Source organism: Homo sapiens, chromosome 18 (assembly GCF_000001405.40).
Source record: "Homo sapiens chromosome 18, GRCh38.p14 Primary Assembly".
NCBI classification, from domain to species: domain Eukaryota; kingdom Metazoa; phylum Chordata; class Mammalia; order Primates; family Hominidae; genus Homo; species Homo sapiens.
The window spans coordinates 69683410-69705635 of record NC_000018.10 but is presented as its reverse complement, the minus strand read 5'-3'; the positions used below and the strand labels follow the sequence as shown (position 1 = coordinate 69705635).

Here is a 22226-nt window from a genome sequence, read left to right as displayed (position 1 = left end):
AAGAGCAGATTAAGTGTAATCTCCACAATTATTGCTAAAACCTTTCAATTAAGGTATGTCAAGGTAAAAAGCAGCTCAAGGGTAGGATACCCATTATAATCTGTTAATTCTTTGCCCTGGGTCATTTTTATCTAATTAAGTGAGTGCTGCTCCTACAAAAACCTGACAAAGTCAAGGCACCTTTCAAATCAAAAGACAGTTTTGAGGGAAGAAATAAACAATCAGAGCATATCTGAGAAATAGAGCTCAAAAAACAAAACAAAACAAAACAAAAACAAACCAAGAAAACACTTCCTTGGTACAAGTGATTGGCACTAAATACACAAGAAATCTTGTAATATTTTGACAAAGTTTTACAGGGAAAACAGGCTGTAAATAAAAAATATTTATAACTTGTTAAGATTCAGTAACCTTCAGATCTCTACTACAACTTCTCAGGGTAGAATGTGGACTGAGAAACGTGCAACGCTTCAAAGAGAACATTTTCCCAACGTCCAGTTCGAATATGGACAAGGAGGATAATGATAAAGGAAAATCCTCCTGGAGGGCCGAGGGCAGAACCAAGTGGAATAGAGGATTGGCACGTTCTTCCCAAAGAGCAGAATGAGGGCCCAGCCACATATCCTTGTTAATTCTGGATAAAGACCCTGAAGATATCTGGCAAGCAGCAATTCAGAATTACCAGGACCAGTGACTGTTGCCTGCTTGCCTCCCAAACTTTCCCTTGAATGGGAGTGTTTGCAGGGGCAGGCATCCCACCTCTCTTAAGCCACTGTTCCTTGGGCCAGGGTGGGTAGAGGGGGGAAAAAAAGCATCTTTTTCTGGATCATTCTTTTGGAACTATAAGAAGTCATATCGGCCTAGCATGGTGGCTCACGCCTGTAATCCCAGCACTTTGGGAGGCCGAGGCAAGTGGATCACGAAGTCAGGAGATGGAGACCATCTTGGCTAACACGGTGAAACCCCGTCTCTAGTAAAAATACAAAAAAATTAGCTGGGCATGGTGGCGGGCGCCTGTAGTCCCAGCTACTCAGGAGTCTGAGGCAGGAGAATGGAGTGAACCCAGGAGGCGGAGCTTGCAGTGAGCCGAGATTGCGCCACTGCACTCCAGCCTGGGCGACAGAGCAAGGCTCCGTCTCCAAAAAAAAAAAAAAAAAAAAGTCATATCTGGACCTGATGTACACACTGCTACAAATCGCCTGCAGACTCTGGACTTTGAGCTATAATCAGTGGCTTGCTGGATTGCTTTTTGGATTGTTTCCCTTAAGGAACAATTGAGTGTGTAGGAAGAAGAGAGAAAAGGGATCTTCGCTCATCAGAAGATATGACTGTGGCAGAGACAATATACTTTCCAAATATTCCACATACTCCCTACTTGTCCCCTCGCAGATGTGGGGTGGGGGGGCTGTGGAGGCCACCTTCTGGGTGGTGGGCTATTAATAGAAATAACATGCATTACCACTGTACTAAAGTATTTAAATGTTTTGTATTAGCGCAGGCTGCCATAAGAAAAACATGACACAGAGTGGGTGACTTAAACAACGGAAATTAATTTTCTCACTCTGGAGGCTGGAGTCTGAGATCAGGGTGCCAGCATGGTTGGGTTCTGGTGAGGGCTTTCTTCCTGGTTTGGAAATGGTCACCTTCTTGAGGTCTTTCCTCCGCATGGCAGAGAAGAGGGACTGAGAGGTTTCTTTCTCCTTCTTATAAAGCCACCGATCCTATCAATCAGATTAGGACCCCACCCTTATTACTTCATTTAACTTTAATTCCATCTATAAAGGACCTATCATCTCTGGCTCTTGTCATAAAGATATAAGAAGTTTGGGGTTTAGGGTTTCAACATATGAATTTTGGGGAGAAACAATTGAGTCCATAGTATGCTTGTTGGAGAATGTTCCCACCTTCTTCCCCTGCTATGCATGGCAATGAGGTAGGTTAGCATGAAGATGTCTGAGTCACAAGATTGCAGCATCCTAGGTTTCTGAATCCAGGTGCCCTGGTGATCTGTCCAAGCCTGCATCAGGCATAGCTTGAGTGGGAAATAAATCTTTGTTGTATTGAGCTATTGAGAATGGGGGTTGACATCATTAATGTTTTTAAAATGATACAACTTAACCTATGTTCCTAATACACAACCCTCCTGGGATGTATTTTATTACAATTCCTATATTATATTGAAATCATTAGTTGATCTATCTTACCAAGTACACTATGTGCTCATTAAGGGAAGGGACTATGTGTTACCTATTTTTGTTTCTTTAGTTCTTACCATAGTGTTCGATAAATGAAATAAAGTAGCCCAGAGAATAAATGAGGTTTCTGGTGCCACAAAAAGATTTAAATCATAATATCTAATTGGGTTTTAATTACAAAGTATAGAGTAGCAAAGGCCTCCATGAAAAAAATTTGCATCAGGGATGTTTTCAATGTTTTAAAATCATAGGTCTATATAAACCCTTGCTTTAATTCCAAAGAGATAATGCCAAGACAAAGTGTTTAGGAACCTAGTGCCTTTTCCTTCTGTGTATCTAATCTGGTAAATCTCTTGCTATGATAATACCAGGTCTGCTTTTTTTTTTTCCCCCTCGGAGAGAGCATTAATTAAATGACTTAGGAAACTGTTTTTATTGAGAAATGGAGACTCTGATCTTAGTTATTGCTCAATTAAGTTTAAAGTTCAATACATTTTTATTGAACCCACACATACTTTAACGTGAATTGCTTTTTACTAATTGGTCTGTAGTAATCACAATGACAGTTTTGGTCGCCTTTTAGGCTTCTTTTATTCTCATTCAGAAAGTTCCTAAACTTCATTCATAGTCATTAAATCAAGAATGATTTCTGGAATCAAGAAGATAAAGTCAAGAGAGCTGTGAAGTTCTGGTTTGATCTCCTCCCATGATTTGTGAAACGTCACCACATTCACTCATAGGTTTCTGTATCCCAGGATATACCACCCCCAGCTGGCTTTATTCAAACAATGAAGCCATTCATTGATTAATTCCTTCATTCAACAGAAGCACATGTTTTTACATTTTAGTATTTCTGAAATTGGGGTATATTTTGTTATGACATCGTCTATGGAACAGCAGCCTCCAAATGATGGCTGCCAAGTGGTGGTAGTGATGTGGCTGCTGTTGCCTGTGTGTACAGGCTCAGGATTTCCTCACTTCAATTGAAGCTCTGTGCAATGTTGGCACTTCATGTCTTGTGTTTGACTATATTTTAGTTAATTGCAACTCTTCAATGTTTCAGTCAAGAAATGTTTTAGGACCATTTGAAAGAGAAACACGAGACCTTGTTGTCTAAAAACCTACTGTGTACACCTTCTGGTAGATAAACTTTGCACCAACAAGCATAAAAAACTTGCAGGACAGATATCAGTAGTTCAGAAGAAAATCTTAGAGTCCCAGCAGTACACTCTTTTATGAAGATATGTGTACCACTAACACTCTTGATGGCAAATCAAATGATATTTAAAAAAAAAAAAAAAAAAAACCAACCCAGAAGGGCATTGATAACTCTGGGTTAGTACAGAAATGTTGGAGTCCATATGTGAGAAATTCCTTAACTAACTTAGACCTTATAGTGTATATAACATAATTCATATTTATTATGTATTAATTATATTTTTATGCTTTTGTATCATATTTAAGAACTTTCTGTTTTATCTTTCCTCTTAACCACTTGGTTATGCATTAGAGAAAAGATTCTTTCTCTTTGCATCCCTGACCAACGAAGGTTTAGGAATAAATTAAGCCTACCTATGACATCACAGAATCCTTAATTGTATGACATATAACATTTGCTACCACTAACCACCTTTTCATAATAACTATATTGCAATATTTAAGTATTATTTTGCATTTCTAATTGTTAAAAATTAGTAACTGGGTTTTTCCCAGGTTTCTAAATGGAAGCAATATTATCAAAGTTAGTGAGACACATATTTTAAGCACCAATTTTCTACTAGTAAGCATCATGCTGAATATGGGTGCTTAGTTTTTGAAAAATAATTCATACAAAAGATCAGGGGTTCGCCTGAATTTTGGCCATGCAGGCATTTTCACTCATCTTGATTTTTGCTTACAATATTTATGAGGTAACATGAAGTAAAAATGTCAAGTCAGCAGTTAAATAAAGGAGTTTTGTCTTTCACAGGATAAAATTGTACATAATCATGAATCTTATCACTTCCTCTGAAGGTCTGGTATTTTTTTGTGATTATCTTGAGAAAATATGCTTGCATGGCAAATTGGTTGTTTCTACCTTTAAAATGCAAAGTTATGATCCTTATGGTAAAAGAGCAATTGCTCCGAGCTGATGTGAGACTATGAATACATCTCCTGGGCGCCATGCTGCGCTGAGGATGATTACCATGGAGAGTTTCCTGGTCCTTGTTCTCCTTCTGCCCCACACTAGGTGAGTGCTCCTTGAGACTTATGGCATATAATTATAATTACAAGGGTGACTGAAGGATGCTTCTCCAGAATAAACGATGTATATCCATTCCTACTGTTCATGTCTACATGTCAGTTTTACAGCAGAATTTAACAATGCATTTGAAAAAGTGTGTCAATGAAAAAAGTATTTTGACATATCCAATTGTATTATTTTCATATGTATTATTTGTACTAATACTACTATTAGTGCATATAGTAGTATAAATAAATAGCTAAAATTTATACCAAGTGATATGCCTTGGGCAATGAGCTAATAAAACCTAGAAAGTGTTGGCCTTTGGCTTTGGTTTGCTAGCATGACTGGCCATGCCTTACCTGCCAATCTGCCCTCTAAATTGTCCCCAGTCTCATCACCAGTGACCCCATCAGTCCAGACCCAGGGAACACAATGTCCCACTTTTATTTCTCTAGATCAAGTATGGACAAGACCTTCCCCCACTGGCTCATTTTAACAACAGTGAAGTCATCTGGAATTTACAAAACAGATGCACAAAATTATGGACAATTTCTCAGTCACTAAAGAGCAAATGACACCCAAAATTCAGAGAAGGAGAAACACACAAATGAACTGTGTCCAAAGGACAGATCTCTAATCTCAAAGACAAGGAAATAAACAGAGGGAAAAAAATAGATACCAAATTCCTCTATGAAATAGAAAGATCTTAAAAAACTAATGTGGACAGGTATAAATGGAGTGAAAATTCTGAATAACCATTCTTCATGAAAGAAAATGACTTGTTATTTAAAATTTTGAGTGGAAGTCTATTGAAACGTTGTAACAGACAAAATAGTTAAATTGTTTTCCATAGAAAGAGGAAGATAGGTATATCTAGAAGGATCCAAGGGAAGGGATCCTGGAGGTAGTGCTGGTAAATGATGCAAAAACGAAAACAAAACCCCAACCCCGACAAAACCTTAACAACAACATTCAATTCATATATATATATATATATGTATATATATGTAAAACTAACTGATATGGTTTGACTCTGTCCCCACCCAAATCTCATCTTGAATTGTAGCTCCCAAAATTCCCACGTGTTGTTGGAGTGACCCAGTGGGAGATAACTGAATCATGGGGGCAGTTCCTCCCATGCTGTTCTGATGGTAGTTAATAAGTCTCACGAGATCTGATGTTTTGATAAGGGGAAACCCCTTTCACTTGGCTTCATTCTCTTCTCTCGTCTGCTGCCATGTGAGATGTGTCTTTCTCCTTCTGCCATGACTGTGAGGCCTCCTTAGCCACGTGGGACTGTGAGTCCATTAAACCTCTTCCTTTGGTGAATTGCCCAGTCTTGGGTATGTCTTTATCAGCGTGTGAAAATGGATTAATATACTACCTTTTTAAAGCCAGTAAAAAAATAAGGTGCATCATAGATTTTAGGTCAGTGAATCTCTAAAACATGTCAACTCATTTTCATAGTCATAATTTTTAAAATAGTAAACATATCTTAAAAATATTCATTTTCTTATTAGAATTTGTATTTCCCAATGGCTATCGGAATGTGATTACACTATTGCACTCTCAATATCTAGGTAGACAGAAATAGTTGAACAAGCTCATAACTACTAAGTAAACACAGGATCTAATGCTTTTCAGAGAAATCAGTGTGGTAGAGACTTTAATATTACTGTAGTGCAAAAGGGCCCCAGACTGGTAAAATTACTCCAGCTCAGGTTTTTTGTTTGTTTTTTCCCTCCTTAAAATTTTAAGAGACATGGGACCTACCCTAGCTGGCTAGATAGATATTATTAGAATGTGACATTGAGTAAATATTTAGCAGTTTTTAAGAAGAAAGTTATAAACTTAAAAATATTATATCAAATGCAATAAAACTTCACTATAATTGCCTTATAAGGCCATGAATTCATTTTAAGAATGTGATAAATCATGTACCCTGGGTGAAGATGGAAGCATTAAACATCTCCTCATATAAAATCCCCAAACCTAAGTCTTATCTTGGATGTGTGACAATACTACAATGGGGTCATAGCATAAAGACAATGATTTGGTTGGTTGTAGTTTATGTCTAAATCCGTGTTTATTAATAATGATTGTGAATCAAGGATTCATTTCAGACCCTTATGGATTCCAACCATATGCTGTGATCAAGAAAGCAGTATATTTGCCTAAAAGCAATATTTAAATTTATTTAAAACTTTAAAAAAAGATTGTTTGCTTATTAAAAAACACTCACAAAAACAATGCAAGCAAGGACATGCTGCCTTTAATTTTATGGAGGTCCTTTTGCATACAGGCACACCGAAAATATAGTATTGTAATAATCTTGCAAAACATATTACATTATTAAAATAATTACAAAACCAGTTTGAGTTTGATGGTAGTGTAAGAAACTGAAATTATTTTGAATGGGGTAATTAGCCTGCCAAAAAACTAACAGAATTGTATTCATGTTATTAAGAATCTGAAGAAATTATGTATTTGGTAACTTTTACCCTGAATGAAAACAGTGCTCACTGGGGGCAATGATGGACAGCACTCTCTTTCAGGACTCTGTTATACAGACTCTGTTATACAGACAACTCCTGCACTTGGCTGCTGCACTAGATCTTACCTTCCTGACTCAAACGTGAACCACGTTGAGTCCCGACCGTATCTCCTCAGTGAGCTGAGAGGCCACATCACCAGTTTGACCTTGGCATTGTGGATATCCCAGAGATAGATATTTTCATGAGTGATCTGCATTGTGCATTCACCATAAATATCCAGGTTTGGTGTAGGCATAAGATACACGTTGAATCTCTCTGTGAAGAGACGAAGAATGGAGAAGGTTAAGTGAAAAGAGGTGTGAGTGTCTATGGCCATACGATATTAATTTGTTTATCTACAGACTGCAGGAAACATGACCACATCCTCCCTAGGTGATATGGATAAACATTGTAGAACATGACATATTTCAAAATTTGTATGAGAAAAGGAGTTCATTAAAGTGTTCTGAATCATTAATTCATTCATTCACTCAACGACTTTTCATTGCATGTATTGTCTATGGTGAGGATTAAGTAGTTAAATTGTACAATGGAAAAATAAGGGCAAAAGTTAAGGGAGTCTCTGCCCAAATTGTGCTTATGGTCTGTTCCTTCACACAATCTAAGTGGATATCACAGATACGATTCCAGCGAGGGATGTCTTATTTGCTCTCCTTAGGCAAGATCTTATTTGATTTTTACCTTTGTTGATGTGAAGTATTTAATGCACCCTCAGACTGACTCACTAACTACTTAAGCACTGGAAAAATCATTTAGTTTGTATCTCAAAACAAATTGTAGTCATGGTCAAATTTAGCATATGATAATTGCAGATATTCATTACAGCCTTCCGCAGAACTTAAGACATTGCTTTGGTAAGCAAAATAAAAATACTTAACTTTTTTCATTCCTGGATATCCTATGGCTGAAAATATTATTAGGCAATGATTCCAAACCTTACTTTGTAACTGTCTGTCTGTGTTTCTTAAAGGCTATTGCAAAGTTATGCTGCCTTTGATTCCCATTTAGATGCATTAAATAGATTTTTTTTTTTGAAAAATAAGATTAGTTTGCAAGTTCCAGGAAGTAAAAAGAACTTGGTATGCCTTACAACATACTCTATAAAGTATCCCTAGTTCCTAGCACCATATCTTTGATTTACATTGTGTCCAATAAATATTTGATAACTGTATGAATAAAATACATCTATGCCATGATGAATTATGAGATGCAAGAATTGAAGAATTACAAAAAAAGTCATAAGAAAAACTTTAAGAATTACTGGCAGATATACCTCTGTGGGTTAGGATTTAATTGTGAATAGTGCTTTAAAGTCAGTGCTGTTGAATTAATTAGTTTGAGAGATGAAATAGTGCAGCTGCAGATGGAAAATGATTGATATGTTTAGGAATGTACTATTATACATCATAACAGCATAATCTTAAATGCTACATGTTTGCTGGTACTGAGCTGAAATTGTATAATAGAAAGATTCTTCTCTCTGGCAGATATTTTACTTAGTAAGGATTCTCTGATGCCAAAAAAAATATTTGAATTACAAATTAACATAACCATGATAGCTTAACATTAACTAGCCATAAAAACAATATTTATACTCATGTGTCTTGATATTTTGGACAATAGCTTATCTAATAATTCAGTCTTTTAGATTATTGACCCATGAAACTAATATGTGTATGGATTTCACATTCATTTCCTAAGAAACGACAAATTGCAATCAATTCTATGGCTAAAAGCTGAAGAAAGAACATTGCCTCATTAATTATCTGCAGTGAAAAGCCCAAATATATACATATTCCCAATAGCTTAAAATTCTTATGTGCAACCAACTGAAGTATTAACATTTAGTATTAAACACATCAGTCACATTCCCATCATAATTCACACTCCAATGGGATTAGTAGTAAATTAAAGGGGGCATGATCTCATATAAAACAATAAATGAAACTTGGACCCAAAGGTTTTACACAGGAATATACACAAGGCCCGAACATCAATCTTCTCTTCTTTGGCCAAGAAGCTTTTGATAAATTTCAGCTCCTATATTTGGAATTAATCATATGTCAGTGGTACCTGTTGTGCATAGAGAAAATATTGTTATAGAAACGGAAAGTAAAACATTTCTTTACATTTTTTCCTTTCCATCAATTTCAGAGTCAGAATTAGCAACCGAAAAAATAATTGCCAAAATGCCACTAAATAACATTTCTTCCAAAATATTGAAGTAAACATCATTAACCAGTATTATTGTTGCTTATGGCTGTATTGACCCTTGATGTTCATGCCCATAGTTTGATAGTTAAAAACATAGAATGTTTAAAAAAAGATCTTGACATTGAGTGTCCTTCCAGTGGATGGTACATGAAACATGACCTGTAACAGTGGACCCAGAAGGACCATCACATTTTCACTGAAATGTTTGTGTGCTCAAATGTTAGCAGATAGAGCTTAGGAAAAATAAGCAAGGAGAGAGTACAAGCATCACACTGGACACTGGAGAAAGCTGAAAAAAATCAAGTAAGTAAATTTAATAAGATTCACATGATATAGGGCTCTATGTATCTCTATCTCTGTCTCCGTCTCTGTCTCTATCGCTATGTATATCATCAAGGCCCATTTAAAAAAAAGCAACTGGACAACTTGCCCTAAGGGAGTTTTTCCAGGGCCATCTCTAGTCAATACCAGCAGGTGAAATTTACCCGTGGTGCCTCTACCCTCTTGCCTGTCTTCTGTTTTCCCTGTCCTCACATACTTTTTTACCCAGCAACTCAAGTCAACCCTTCTTGTTGTGGTTTAGAACTCTCCAGTCTTCCTTTGGATGCTATTTCTTGCAACTTTAGAAAGACATTATGCTAAGATTATATTTATATTTTCAATTTTCAAATATTCAAAATCTATTCTCTCCTAACAGCTAATTTCTAAGAATTTCAGATTCAATTAAAAAGTGAACAAATTTAATCCAGCAGAAAACTAGGCACAAAAAGATGAAGGCAGCACATTATGTTACCTAACTATACTTAACCGAATTCCGTTATAATGACGAAGGAAGCTTTCTGCCTTTTCAGTGACTGTATCAGTGTATTCTCTTAGTAGCATAATACACTTTGTTTTACTGAAAAATTTGTTAAGGCTTTGCTAGAAAGACCATTTCAAAATGGAGTGGTTAAAATTGGCTCCATTAAAATGATTTTTAAAAAATGTTTATCTTTGTGAAACAATTCTATCAAGCAGGCGTTTTAAATCACTCTCTAATTATGCTGCTTTTTAAATTTAAGAACCCATGTTCGGTTTTTATTTCCTATACCACTGGTTTTTCAGACTTCAGTGTGCTAAAATTACCTGGAGGCTTTGTTGAAACACAGAATGCTGGGCCCCCTCCAATCTTATCATTTCTGGTACAATAGGGCTGGGCTGGAGCCAGATAATTTACATTTTCTGTTTATTCCTAAGAGATGTTGACACTGCTTCTCTGCGGACCACACTTTGAGAACTGTTGATTTGTGAAACTCACTTTAAAATATTGCCAGGGAAGTAGCAGTATTAGAGAAATCATGAGGAATGACTTTGGAAAATGATGCCATGTACCAGCAGAACAAAAGAACACTTGCTTTTTTCAAAAGTGTTATCTAATATCTGCCCAAATAAATTAATCCCATCTCAACTGATTCATGTCTGATTTTGTAAGAAAGAGTTCTTAGGCTAATTGGAACAAAACAAGAGACAGGAGCATAGAAAGAAAGATACATGGAAGATGGTTTACAATTTATCAAGATATGTGTATTCCAACTATTTTCCTTATCAGATGATTGACAACAACAAGAAAACATTATTAAAGAAAACTAAACCCATTCCCAAATACCCAAAAGTACTGAAAAGGAAACTAATTGTTTAAATAATGATAATAATATCCTAAAACATAAATATTCTGCTAATCTGTGAAGGCTGCTGAACGTATGGAAAAACAAATTTTTGAAAAGGTTATGTAGAAACAAATACCAAATCAAAATGTATTCATTCATATAAGATTTAAAACTACAGAGTTAAAAAGTCCCAAACACATTGCCTGTGAATTTGTATGTTGGTAAAATTTAGAGTCCCATATTAGCTAATATGTGAGAAAATATAATTTTATTTTAAATGGTTGAAACAAAAACCAAGGGTGGAATATTTATTAAATATTATAAATATATAATTATGCTATAATAAAGTGTATAATTTTATTATAATATAAATATTGCATCCAACAAAGATGCTAGTATTGAATCTGCAATTATGTTTACAAGGGCATCTTTTTCACTAGGGCTGAATGATGAGGTCCAAAGGAATAGACCATGCCCAGGGAAGGCCTGAGATACAGGGGTAAGGCTGCAACTACGAGAGTCTAGACAGGGCTACAAAACAAGGCTTAGACGAATTGAATAGATCAAGGTCTGGCAAGACAGGGTGACTGTACTCAGGGAAAAGGGGCAGCAAGGCTCCAGGTGGAACGAGAGGGGACTGAATGGGTCATCAGTGCCGAGAAGAACTGAAATCTTCCCTGTCAGCCAGTGAGTTTTTAAATAGATCAATTTTTTTTTTTTTTTTTTTTTTTTTTTTTTTTGACACGGAGTCTCGCTCTGTCGCCCAGGCTGGAGTGCGGTGGCGGGATCTCGGCTCGCTGCAAGCTCCGCCTCCCGGGTTCACGCCATTCTCCTGCCTCAGCCTCCCGAGTAGCTGGGACTACAGGCGCCCGCCACCACGCCCGGCTAATTTTTTTGTATTTTTAGTAGAGGCGGGGTTTCACTGTGTTAGCCAGGATGGTCTCGATCTCCTGACCTCATGATCCGCCCGCCTCTGCCTCCTAAATTGCTGGGATTACAGGCGTGAACCACCGCGCCCGGCCTAAATAGATCTATTTTATGCAGGAACAAATCCAAGTATAGCTGTGAGTCTGAGACTGGCAGGTGGAGGTAAGTGGATCTCGCAGTTGCCTGGAGAAGCAAAGGATCAGAGATGGGGATTTCTGACAAGAAGTAACACACAGAAAACAAACGGGTGAGAAGTCCTTCAAACAACCCCTTGATAATTTCCCTTTTGTAAGAATACAGATGGAAAACTATGTTTAATGGAGAACCGTACAGGAAAACAGACGTCTGTTCAGCTAAATTTCCCTTATACTAAGTAGAAATATATATATAAAAAGAGGCTTTTGGAATTTATGTATTAAATAAGTGTGCATCTAGCACATGGTGAACATTCAGTGCATTGTGACTGCATACACATAAAATGCATTTTTGTATGTTAGTTAGAAGAAATTTGAAAAATGTCTACTGGAAGCCAATAGATTCTTTTTTTTTTTTTTTTTTTCTTCAAAGAAGACTTTTTTCCACTGTATTCTATTTCTTCCTCTGCTTCAGAAGTCATGGGTTTGAAGGTTGGGTCAAAAGAAAACAATGGAACATGGAACAAAGTATTATACCTAAATATTCAGAAACCAAGAGATGTATAAATATTAACTCATTAGGTTTTCCACAGATAGGAGTTAAATCTAACAATATCTTCAGCTAAGTAAGTACATGTGAACTCCTTATACTTTTAGCTTGTCTTCCTCTTAAAAGCCAAAAATGGCTCAAAAGAAGAAACTGTACAAAAGGAAAGGCATTCTTGATTTAGATCATTGGTGACATAATGATTTAGGCTGTAAACAATTCCTTGTGTAAAATTGAACCTTTATCCCTCATGAGGCTTAAATATTTGTTAAAATTTATTAATTAAAATATCTAGGCATTATTAAGTTAACATAAATAAAATTAATACTTACATAAATGTATACAGTAGCTGTAAACTGGTTATATAATGATTTAAAATAGCTGTAAGTATTGGATAATTTGTTTACATATTTTTTCATTCTGCTGTAGTTTATATCCATCTATTGTTTTTCCCATAAATGTACATAACTAGAGTCACAGGCAAAACTTGGATGGCCTGGGCCTATCTGAGCATAAATGGCAAATGTCAACTCTAAATAGGAGAATTTCACTTCATTGTTTTTATTAACGAGTGATTCCATAAAGTTAAGACTCACTTCTATATACAATCAACTGGTCAAAATAACTTTAAAGATTTAACTGAGATTCTCTGATGGCAGGAGGCTTCAAATTTGTTTCAAAATATCACGTGATAAAAACCCCAGTATTTATGGAAGACATTGTTTAGGTTAAATCTGTTACTGTAGCTAATTCATTAAAAGACCCAGATTTAGTAGGATGTAATTTAGGAAAATGGTTTTTCTTCCAACCCTGCTCTCACACAACTATGAAATTTCCACTTCTTGCCCCTGGCGGTATCTCAGGCAGAGATTAGTGTTTAATTCACTATTGCCCATAAGGATATTGTCAACTTTATGTCTCAGATGAGATGACTGGTGTAATTGATAATTTTAAAGTCTCAAATAAATGGAAGTTTCTCCTCTTCTTTCAGGTCAAGTCCATTACTGAGAGTCCAGCAATGAGAATGAGAAAGATAGAATATGCTCTTTCCTGCTTGTTCCATCACCGTCTTTCCACGGTGACTCCCCACCGCCCCACTTTCTTTTGCTTTTGACTTTTCCAGGGTAAGAATAATGAAAAGAAAAGGGGGTAAATTCCTTCTAAATAGTTACTATTGAAAATTCTTCTTTACTTTTGAATTCTTAATGACAAGATGTATTCAAATGCTACCGCTCTCTTTGAGGCATATGGTATGTTCCTAAGAACCATCCCAACACCTCAGAAAAACCATCCCAACACCTCAGATATCTCCCCTGCTCCCTGAAGGGGAGGTGCCTTGATTAGACATGGAGCCTATTACCCTTAGCTTCTATTTTCTGCATTCCACCTTTATCATCTTTCAGCTGGAGCTCCTTCTCACAGGCAAGAGTTGTCCTGGTGTGGGTGTTTTCAAGATGAATCAAGCTCAGCTAACTATAAAGTGTGCACTTGTCCCACTGAATGTGGCAGTGTATCTTGTCCAGTTGCTGATCCATTCTCCTTGTTTGGCTATCACAAACAGCTTCAGACCCATCTTGCATCCTAACCTCAGGTTCACCATGGTGAAAACTGAAACCACTACTTCCCCAAACTCAGGTTCTTCCCCAAACTCTCTTGAACACTGCCCAGGTACCAGCTTGGGTAGCACTACTTGATTCTACAGTTCTACCAGCATGGGTGAGGTGAGAAGCCAGTCTGTCCTCCTGACAAACAACCCAAATTCTACAAGTAGTTCTCTTGCCCTTCCTCTTTCATGGGGCTTGAGAGGGGTGAATATTCTCTCCTTTCTGCCCTTCTCCTATAAAAGACTTTCAATGAATTATCTTTATGTCTCTCTTAACACTTCTTGGTTCTTTTCACCCACTATCCACAGCTCTGTGGCCACAATACAGAGACAACAAGAAAGTCCAATTCTATATTTTTATTTATTTATTTATTTATTTATTTATTTATTTATTTATTTATTTTGAGACAGAGTTTCGCTCTTGTCGCCCGGGCTGGAGTGCAATGGTACGATCTTGGCTCACTGCAACCTCCGCCTCCTGAGGCAGTGATTCTCCTCCCTCAGACTCCAGAGTAGCTGGGATTACAGTCACCTGTCACTATGCCCAGCTAATGTTTGAATTTTTAGTAGAGACAGGGTGAGTTTCTCCATGTTGGACAGGCTGGTCTTGAACTCCTGGCCTCAGATGATCTTCCTGTCTCGGCCTCCCAAAGTGCTGGGATTACAGGTGTGAGCCACCATGCCCAGCCCAATTCTATATTCTTTAACACTTTTTACATACCAATTAAAACATGAAATTTTAGTAAGAATCCAAAACTACTAAATGGTATTTAGGCAAAAGACCAGAGACATTAGTCTAATATTAAGTGTTGATGAGTAAGTCCTCAAGAATCTGGTATTAGAAAAACTGGACTAATGCTTGGGATTTATTATTGAGTTTCATATGAATTTGGAATCTAGATTCATCCCATTGTTTAAACAGTCTGCTTTGTTTTTTTCTTAATAGTTACTTGAAATGCTAAAGGAACTAAATAGAGCCAGATATTACACAGAAGATGAGACATTTCAAGATCATTCTGTTCTTTATAATCTTATCTCCAAAATTTCTATAATAGACGATTATTGCAGTGGTCACTCTTCAATTCTAGCAGCTTTAGAAGCTGAAACCACACTGAAAAAGCGGATGTTTACACATTTAGACCCATCCTTAGATCTGTATAATACAATTAAACCACGAATAAACAAAACATGATTTATGCTTGTCAAAATTTGTAGAACTCTTCAGAAATTGTGACTCCATCTCCACCACAGAACTAAAACTCATCAAAATTTATTTTATTATTATGTGTAAATAGCAATAGATTTAGTTGCTAGGTGCCATCTGCTCAGTGTCGAAGATCACTGTGAATTGGAATGCTTACATTTCTTGAACAATCAGCAGTACTTAAAAAAAAAAAATTCCACAGTATCTTTTTAAAATTCCCCAGAAATTTCTTTTTTGCTTTACAAAAATTGACTATTGCATGGATTTTATCTGCATTTCCAAGTAAAGCATGTTCATGGCAGCAAATATGGAAAATTATTTTTAAAAATTAAAAATTTAACTGTTAAACCTTAGAGATTTCTGTTATACTGTATCATAATATACAAAAATATTCACACACAATTATTATACTGAAAGTATTTAACCTATATATTCCACTTACAAGCATTTTCAGACACTATTAAATATTTTAAGGTGCTACAATTTTTAAGAAATGCATAATATTACACTATATAGCTGTGCTATAATTTATTTAAATTATCTGTTTAACGAATATTAAAAGTAAGCCAATTTTAATCTAATGTAAATTAAGATGCAATAAAATAACCAATTTTTAGCTCAATTTGCTGAATAATTCAGTCCTTTTATATTGGTTCATAGAGTTTACTGTACTATATTCTCCTATATAAATTTTAGATAATTTTTAATATCTTTGATTATAAACTTACATTGAGTACTAAAATCTGAATCACTGGAGCAAATACTATAAACTCTTATAAGAATCACACATTGCCAAATTGCTTTCCAGAAATCCCTTACCAATAAATATTCAAAATACATATAGAGCGAGTCATTATAAGTGTCTTTTGCCAGATTTATCAAAAATTACATCTACTGTTTGTTTTCCTGATTGTGAGAATTCTGTATATTGGAAACTTTTCTTTAGATGTTTATGACAAATACTTCATCTCAGATTTTCATTGGTTTTGTTTACATTATTTAGAAAACAATTTTCTTTAACTTTTGTAATAAGTCCTTCATTCTTGAAAGAGTGAACTATATTGTGAAATATAATGGAATGTTCATATCTTACGTATAATGTTCTGTTAGTTTTGACAAAGGCACAGCAAGACATGTAATGCTTCTGTCCCCACAGAGAGTTATCTTACACCACTTTTCAGTTGTCCAGGCCCTCAGAACCACCACTGATCTGATTTCTAACACTCTTAGGTTAGTTTTGCTTATTCTCTACAAGGTTCTTGTGGACTGATACCCGCACATCATGACTTGATTCCATCTGTCACTTCCCTTTTTATTTTTAATTTTTTGATGGCACTTTCTTGATGAGCAATAGTTTGAGTTTTGATGAAGTTCAACATTTCTTTTTATAGTTTGTGTTTCCAGCGTTTTATATAAGAAATCTTTATATATCTCTAAGTTGCATCCATCTTAAATTGATGTTTAACTGTGGTGTGCATAGGGGTTCAGGTTCATCATTTCACACAGATATCCAGTCATTCTAGAATAACTTATTTTCAGATGTTTTACTATTCTCATTAAAATGGCTAATAAGCTTATGAAAAGGAGTATTGTCCTTGCTTTGGGAGGTTGAGGTGGGTGGATCATTTGAGGTCAAGAGTTCGAGACCAGCCTGGCCAACATGGCGAAACCCCATCTCTACTAAAAATACAAAAATAGCCGGGTGTGATGGGGGGTGCCTGCAATCCCAGCTGCTCGGGAGACTGAGGCAAGAGAATCACTTGAACCCAGGAGGCGGAGGTTGCAGTGAGCCGAGATTGCACCACTGCACTCCAGCCTGGGCAATAGAGCGAGACTCTGACTCAAACAGCAGCAACAACCTATTTGTCTACATATGTGTGTGTCTATTTCTTCTGTCTGTTCTGTTCCCTGGATCTCTGTAGCCTTTGTCCTAATTGTTATCACTTATAATAAGTGCTATAATTAGGAAAGACACCGGTTTCAACTTGGCTTTTCCTTTTCAAGATTATTTGGCTCGTGTTGGTCTTTTGCCTTCTAAATTCATCTAAAATTGACTTGTCAAGTTCTAGAAAGAAACATGTCTGGTTTACTGGGATTATGTTGGATTTACAGATCAATCTCTGAAGACTGATATCTTAATGATATTGAGTGTTCCAATCATAAAAGTGGTTTATCATTTCATTTACCTAGATCTTTTAAAACTTCTCTCAGAAACATTTAGTTTCCAGTGTGGGGGCTTGGTGTATCCTTTGCTAGTTTATCCCTCAGTATGTGATGGTTTTTCATGGGTTTATAAAAGGTATTTTAATATTTAATTTTATAATATTAATTGCATTATATGAAATAGAAGTATATATTTAAAAATTTGAATACCAACTTGTTATCCTGCAACATCATTGAATTCACTTGTTAGCTATAGTTACTTTCTGGTAGAATTTTAGGGTTTTCCGAGTACACAATCTAGATTATACTTCTTTATCATTTTTTATAATTTTAGTTTATTTTCTTGTCATATTACATAAAGACTTTCAGTAAAAAGTTTGATTAGAAGTAATGAGAAAGATATCTTTGCCTTTTTCCCAACCTTAGGAGAAAAACATTGAGTACTTTACTCTCAAGAATGATGTTTACTGAGGGCTTTCCAATGATGTTCTTCAGTCTGTTAGTGTCTCATTTTAGTCCTAGGTTTTGTGGGTGTGTGTTTGAGAAAGAATCTAGCTTTCACCCAGGCTGCAGTGCAGTGGCGTGATTGTGGCTCGCTGCAACCTCTGCCTCTTGGGCTCAAGCAATTCTCCTGCCTCAGCCTCCTGAGTAGCTGGGACTTCAGGCGCCCGCCACCACACCTGGCTAATTTTTGTGTTGTTAGTAAAGATGGGGTTTCACCATATTGGCCAGGCTGGTCTCGAACTCCTGACTTAAAATTATGCACCTGCCTCAGCCTCCCAAAATGCTGAGATCACAGGTGTGAGCCACCGTCATGCCTGGCCTCTATTCCTAGGTTTTTGAGAGTTGATTTCATAAATGAATTTTGAATTTTATCAAATGCTTTTTACAGATGAATTATAATAATCACATAATTTTTCACCCTTCATGGATTAACATAAGGAAATATTTTGATGGATTTCTGGGATTCTTTGCATTATTGGGCTACGCCAACATTGGTCAGGGTGTATTATCTTTTTTGTATAATATTGGATTCAATTTCTTAATATTTTAAAAGTAATTTTAGGCTTAGATTCATGAAAGATATTTGTCTGAAATTTCCTTTACTTGTATAAACTTGGTCTGGTTTCAAGTATCTGGGTTATAGTGACCTCATAAAATGAGTTGTGAAATGATATTTCCTCCTCTGTTTTTTCTGAATAGTTTTGCATAGCATTAGTATTATTTCTTATTTAAGTGTCTGATATAACTTAACAACTATTTGGAACTAAAGTTTATGTATTGGAAGTTGCATAATAACATATTATTTTTTTAAATGATTATAGGGCTTTTTGGATTTTCTGTTTCTCCTTGAGTATGACTGTGTAATTTGAAACCACTGAATGATATGAAATTAGATTATTTTAACTCAATCTAAGAAAAACTATGTTTAAATAAAAATAATTTATTCAGATTTGTTATTAAAGCTAGTGTCTTATATTATCTTGTTTTATTATATGTGGTTCCTGTTTCCTTTTTTATATTTTAATTATCTTCATCCAGTGAACTTTGAGGTATAAATGATATATTGCTTTATTTTCCAGAGCTATAAGATACTATTTTGATGTTTCCATTACAGCAGATGGGAAATTTAGGGCATTTCTTCCTCCCCTAGATCCCCCCTCAGATTTAATATTTATTGTAGTAGCATCTGGGATTTGGGAATAATATTGTTGCTATTAAGGTCTTAATCCATGCTCAAAGAAAAATGTGGAGCTTTATAGAATATATTAAAGTGAAAAGTTACAAATTAGTTATTGAAATATCTATCTCAAGAAATTTGAAAAATAACCAGCAATTAAGCCCAAAACTGTAGAGCAACTGAATTATTAGTAATAGTGAATGAGAGCAAATATTAATAAAATTAAAAAATATATATACAAAGTTTGCCAGGGCTGTTATAACAAAGTACCACAGACTGGGTGGCTTAAAGAAAGATAATTATTTTCTCCCTGTTCTGGAGGCTGGAAGTCCAAGATCAGCGTGCCAGCAGGGTTGATTTTTTTCTGAGGCCTCTCTCTTCAGCTTGTACTGGGCCATTTTCTTCCTATATCTTTATATGGTTTTCCCTCTGTCTCTGCCTGTGTTCAAATTTCCTCTTCTTACAAGGACACCAGTCATATTGGATTAGGGCTCACCTCTGCCTCAGTTACCTCTTTAAAGGTACTACCTACAAGTACTATCACATTCTGAGGTACCAGGGGTTAGGACTTCAACATATACATTTTGCGTGAAACAAAATTCAGCCCACAAAATACAGAAAAGAGGTTTAACACATAGGCACGTGTCTAGTGATGCCGACTAAGAAAAGAAGCCACACATGACCAAAAGGAATGAATGCAAAGGTTGCCACCGTACTACAAAAAGATGTTAAAATTATAACGCAAAGATACTCTGATGAAATTTTTGCCAGTAATTTTGAAACTTTTCAAGCAATGGGCAAATTCCTAAAATCAATGGTAGATTTTTTTTAAGCCAATTATAATTGACAGTACATTACCCCCAAATTTCAAGCTTTAATGTATATATGAGCATCACTAGAATTGTTAAAATAGAAATGTCTAGGCTCCACCTCCAGATATTTACTTTGTAGGTGTGGGTGAGCCCAGAATTCCCTTGTTTAATGTGCACCCAATGTGAATGTGATGGAGATGTTCACGCACATCCCAGAGAAACTGACTTTCCTGCCAGGCATTGTACTGCCTGTTTTCCAAGTCATATCTTATTTAGTCCTCACAACAATCCTCTGAAATAAGGACTATCATTATCCTCAATGTGCAGAGTAGGAAGCAGAGATTAAGAGAATTTCACTAATCTGACCAAGGCCCCATAGCATGTAAAAACTAGAATAGAACTTGATGACATACTAACTTTGTCAACTTTTTTCTGACAGGCTACGTATTTGACTTTCCAGCTTCATACAATATTTTGTTTTAGTACAGCAGGAAAAAAAAATGGATAATCGAAACTTACGTATACCAAAAAATGAAATCCCAATATTATATATTGAATTTAGAAAGATTATATTGTTTCTTTTTGTGTTAAATTGCGTTAATTTTCTGTCAAATGAGGACTCACTTAACCCATTTTTTTGTTGTTGTTATTCAAAGTTCAATCCCTGAGCACCCTTGCCTTTTCCTCTAGGCTGAATTGAAAGCTGGCAGAAGTGATTTAGTCACAGGAGCTGGCAGAGGAAAAGGGGTCATCTTATCTCATTTGTATGCGCCTGTATGCCAATAAAGTTCCTTGTCCCTGCTTTCCTGTGCCATGTCAGTTTCTGCTTCCAGATAATATCTGGGGTCCAGCCTGTAACTAAGGAAAAGTTGAGCACCCTCTCCATGCCACACTCAGTTTTGAGAAAATTGAGGCTCTTTACTTTCTTAAATCTCTCTGGCTTCCAATAACATTGTCTGCTACTTGTCCTATGCCTTTCGTTAAACCCAACAGGGAAAATCACATTCTAGTCTTCTTTTGAAGAAACCTCCAATTTATACAGGATGATATAAGCACGTGTCACTACCCACTTGACCTCCCATGAAAAGAGGAAAGGCAAGGAAGGGATCTATTTCTTATTTTCCATAAAACTCTTCTTTTCAAGCCACTCTTTTCATCTTGTTGCACATACCTGGGAGCAGTAATTCTGGATTCAGTATTCTCCCCCATAAGCTTTTCTCCTTACATAGCTGTGAATACTTTCAAAATCTGCATCTTTATTCTTACTGTACAGAGGGCATGTTCCCAGGGCAAAAGAACCAGGATCGGTCCTTTGGTGCTTCAAGGTATTTCTTCACATATACATCTCCTTTATAACAGTACAGTTAGACATGAACAAATGGATCATTTAGATTTGACATTGTGAGAAGAGAAGCACTACAAAACATCTTTTGCTTTCCTGAAGCATCTGTGGCAAAGTATAGGGAGAAATAAATATAGCTTTGACCTTTTTCTGGTGTAGTGTGTATTGAAGACCAAGTGAGAAAAGTGGTGGTTATAATTTGTATTTTTCAAATTTATAGGTGGTGTCTATATAAATCAAATAATAAAAGTAAAATGGTACAACACAATGGCAGGCAAAATTGCTACGGTCCATTCAAGACTTTGTGTTTCATCCATTAGTGTCATCTTATTTCTTCTAGAGGGGCTGCTTCCATAATCATTGCCTTTCAGCTTTCCCTGTAGATAATAACCTTTGCTGATTATATCAGCATTTGTAAATATGTGTTTCGTGGAACACAAGTCCCACAGGATATGAATACATGTTAGGTGCAGAAGGAGGCACCTAGGTCACGTGAGTTTGGGAAATGTTGGGTTATACAAAGTTAAACAGATTATTATAGGACTTCTCAACAGCTTTACTAATGTATATTGTGACTATCATACAGGGCTGGTATTTGTTTCCTAGGGCTATCATAACAAAGTACCAACAATTGGTTGGCTTAAAATAACAGTAATATATCATCTCATAGTTCTGGAGGCTAGAAGTTTGTAATCAGAGTACTGGCAGGGCCATCCCCTCTCTGGCTGCTCAACGGAAGAATCCTTTCTTGCTTTTTCTAGCTTCTGGTGTTAATGGGCAATGCTTGATGTTCCTTGGCTTGTGGACGTGTCATCACTCCAGCCACATGGCCATCTTCTTGTGCATCTTCACATCATCTTCACTTGTCCATATCTATCTCTGAGTCCAAACCTTCCCACTTTACAGTGACATATTAGATGTCATTGGATTATGGCCAACCCTAATTACCTCATTTTAACTTGATTGCCTTTACAAA

The 22226-nt window shown here is 36.1% G+C and overlaps 1 protein-coding gene across 3 annotated transcripts in view; it reads right to left on the bottom strand.

The window, feature by feature from the left end:
* Positions 1 to 22226, bottom strand: part of DOK6 (docking protein 6) — a 448200-nt gene that overhangs the window by 143452 nt on the left and 282522 nt on the right. For all 3 annotated transcript variants that reach the window (NM_152721.6, XM_017025610.2, XM_017025611.2), the window contains one exon: positions 7043 to 7232. In NM_152721.6, coding sequence (NP_689934.2) covers positions 7043 to 7232 — 190 coding nt within the window. The remainder of the gene's footprint in view (positions 1 to 7042; positions 7233 to 22226) is intronic.